Here is a 3,821-nt window from a genome sequence, read left to right as displayed (position 1 = left end):
GGTAGATGGTAAGTGTACACATGGTGAAATTTGAAGCAGTGCTGCCTGCTGCTGGTTTTTACAATATTACCAAGAAATGTTTTGCAGTAACTCTGGGTATTGGCATGAGCACCTTGTATTACAAATTATACAGCAATTCAGAGCTCAGCATTTTTAGATGGCTAGTGGGTTTGGATAGTAAATTCTTGTTCACATTCTCTAGTAGGTAATGTTTGAATAATTGTTAAACAACTTTTTATTTTGCTTAAAGCACATTGTTTCAGCACTATACTATTTTGCTGTTTCCCAAATTCTTGCCCTAAATTCCAAAATCTTACAATCAAGTGTATGTCCTCCCAATACTCAACTTGGAACAGTTGTAATCAGGATAGCTTTTATTTTGAGTCTTCTAGAAATCCTTATTGGAATTTCCATGTGAATACTCTTTTAAACAGATGGCTTGTTTTCCCTTTATTCCTAGCTTGGCTCCTGCCCTTTGAGGCTGGAGCTTCTGTGAAATCCCAATTTTTATTTAAAAGAATTATGTGTTAGGTTGGTGCAAAAGTAATTGCGGATTTTGCCATACTTTTAACGGCAAAAACCACAAATATTATTGCACCAACCTATAAGAGCAGGGCAGTGCAGGCCGGTGTGCTCTGCATGGGGCTGCTTGCCTTGCCCTGGGGCTTTTCACATCAGGGTAACTAGAACCTGTGTTCCAGTTCTCAATTAACCTTTGTTCAGACCCGAGGGAACCTGCTTCCAGGAATCAGTTATATCTGAGACCATTCAGGAGTTGTGGACATTAACTTGAAAGAAACAGTCTATTCAAGACTCTTATAGAGACAGGAGGCAGAGCAAGATGGCCAATAGACCCCACCAGCGATCATCCTCCCTTTCTACCCCCACAGGAATACCAAATCAAAAAACTATCCACACGAGAAAGCACCTTCATGAGAACCAAAAATCAGGTGAGTGATCACAGTACCTGGTTTTAACATTGTATCAAGGAAAGAGGCACTGAAGAGGGCAGAAAAGACAGTCTTGAATTGCTGATGTGCACCCCTCCCTCATCCTCCAGCAGCGGCCAGCTCCGTGGTGCAGAGAGAGAATCTATGTACTTGTGGGACTTCTCATTGGAACTCAGTGCTGCCCTGTCCAGCGGAAAGCAACACAGGGCAGGATTCAGCTGGTGTCCACGGAGGGAGCATTTAGAACAGTGATAGCCGGAGGGGAGTCATCTGTCCCAGCAGTTGGGTTCCAGCTAGCCTCACCAACACTAGCTAAAGAGTAGTGGGGTCCTAAATAGATTTGAAAGGCAGCCTAAGTCACAAAGACTACAATTCCCTGGCAAGTCCTGGTGCTGTGCTTGGCTCAGAGCCAGTGGACTTGGGGTACACAGGACCTAGTGAGACACCAGCTGGAGTGGCCAAAGGAGTACTTGTGTCACCCATCCGCCCACCCCAGGCAGCCTAGCTCACAGCTCTGGGAGAGACTCCTTTCCCTTGATGACAGGAGAGGGAGGAGTAAAGAGGACTTTGTCTTTCTTACAACTTGGATACCAGCTTCGCCACAATATAATAAAACATCAAGCAGAGTCCTGAAGCCCGCATGACAGGCCCTAACTCCTGGACAACATTTCTAGACCTACCCTGGGTCAGAAGGGAATCCGCAGCCCTGAAGGGAAGGACCCAGTTCTGGCAGGATTCATCACCCGCTGTCTAAAGAGTCCTTGGGCCTTGAATAAACATCAGTGGTAGGCAGGCAGTACTCTGGAAAACTAAATTTGAACCAATCAAAAATAATAATAACCACAACAACTTTTCAACATATGAAAGTATAAGATATAAATATGTTATACTGGGTGTGGTGACCCATACCTTTAATCTCAGCACTTTGGGAGGCTGAAGCAGGAGGATGGCTTGAGCCCAGGAGTTTGAGACCAGCCAGACCCCATCTCTACAAAAAAATAAAGAAACCAGCCAGGCATGGTGGCATGTGCCTGTGGTCCAAGCTACTTGGGAGGCTGAGGTGAGAGAATCACTTATGCCTGGGAGGTCAAGGCTGCAGTGAGCCATAACCACACCACTGCACTCCAACCCAGGCAACAGACCAAGACCCTGTCTCAAAAATTATTTAAGGTTATTTATTAACACTTGTGGATAGTGCTGTGATATCCATAATCTCTATTAATATGGGACACAACATTCTGTTTGTAGGCTTTAGGCTAGCCTGTACTTTCAGCTTTCTGAACACAACCTTTAAATAAGTACTTAAACAGAGAATAACTAGAGTTTAAAATAGATTCATTGTGGTTTGTTTGGAATTCTCTTCTTTAAAAAAAAAGTGTTGCTTTTTTTTTTTTTTTTTTTTTAGTAGAAACAGGGTCTCAGTATGTTTCCCAGGCTGGTCTCGAACTCCTGGCCTCAAACAATCCTCCCTCCTTGGGCTCCCAAAGTGCTGAGATTAGAGGCATGAGCCACCATACCTGGCCTTGGAATACTTCTAATACTTGACAAATTTTATCATATGTGACTTTCGGAGGTTTGTATCACACGAATTGTTTCCAATAGAGCTTTAGTATCCCTAAATAAGTTCATGGTAAGATTAATATGGTTTTCCATTATGTCAAACATTTATATATTCTTTCTTTCACAGGAACTACTTGCTCTTTTCTTTCATCATTCCAAGCAGTAGCTCCATCTTCTAATTAATCAGCTTTAGGAGCTTCTTTATTTACTGTTTGGTTAAATCCCCATTCTTCTGCAACCTCCTGTTTAATAGCATTGATTTTTTGCTGTAGTTAGCAAGTTTCCTTCTTCAGTGGCCTGCTGCCAGCTGCAGCATTTTGTTCATTTTATCTAATTTCCTCTACTTAATAGGGATGCAAAGAGGGTATTGAGGGGAGTTGTGGGGATCCTTTGCTGGCTTATCTTTTATTTTGTCATTTTCTAGTTGAGTGGCTTAATAAGAATAGCATAATTCCATTCCTCTTGTCTATTTAATGTGAATCCTGGGAAATGTCACTGGGTGATTGGGTGACTTGTATTTCCCAAACCTCTCTGAGACTATTGTTGTTGTGGCACTTGAACTTTTTCTGTGGTGCCTAATGACTGGATAGTAACACTTATTTCACTGCCAACAGTGTGAGATTGACTTTTGATTAAAGCAACAACTTTAATTTTTGCTTTTCCTCTTCTTATTTTTGTCACAGTAATCAAGACTTCAAACACATTCATTTTATTTTCTTGCTTTGGGGATTGTAAAATCATCTTAAAGGGAATAAAATGGCAACCATTCTATGATGAGGAGCCATGGGTATTTCACTAAAGTTTTGTGATAACTGCAGGAGTTCAGGGGAATATGAGTTGCTACGTTAAATGAGTACCTCCCTCCAACCAGATTGTTGCTTGCAGCATCCCTCCACTGAGCCTATTTGTAAGCCTTAGAGAGGAACATGTGATTGAGGAAACTGCCCTACATGTCGATCTTTCAACCCTTGATCTACGTGGCTTGGAGACCATCCAGGTGAGGCTTTGAAATCTAATGGTAGATATTATCTAACTGTGGGGGAGGGGTGAGCTGACCTAGGACAAATGACCTATAGGATGTCATATTTTGAAAGGATGGTTATTATTAGTGGTATTATTAGCTTTATTAATGAGTAAGAACCCCATTAAGAAAGGAAAAGCAAAAGGAGGAAAGCCATAGGAAAATAAAATAGCATACTGACTCCTCCTGTTCTATCCTACCCACTGTTATCTATAAGGGATTGTGAATGATGATGATGCAAGGTGAATAATATATTAGCCCCCCACCATAAAAGTTGACTAAGATAATAT

The 3,821-nt window shown here is 41.7% G+C and overlaps 1 non-coding gene across 1 annotated transcript; it reads left to right on the top strand.

Moving 5' to 3' along the window:
• Nucleotides 1-529: 529 nt before the first annotated feature.
• MIR548I4 (microRNA 548i-4) lies at nt 530-606 on the top strand. Its single transcript, NR_031690.1, has one exon. It is a non-coding gene; the product is annotated as a microRNA 548i-4 (primary transcript).
• Nucleotides 607-3,821: the final 3,215 nt, after the last annotated feature.

This window comes from Homo sapiens, chromosome X (assembly GCF_000001405.40).
Source record: "Homo sapiens chromosome X, GRCh38.p14 Primary Assembly".
In the NCBI taxonomy this organism is placed as follows: domain Eukaryota; kingdom Metazoa; phylum Chordata; class Mammalia; order Primates; family Hominidae; genus Homo; species Homo sapiens.
This window is presented reverse-complemented; position numbering and strand designations above follow the sequence as displayed.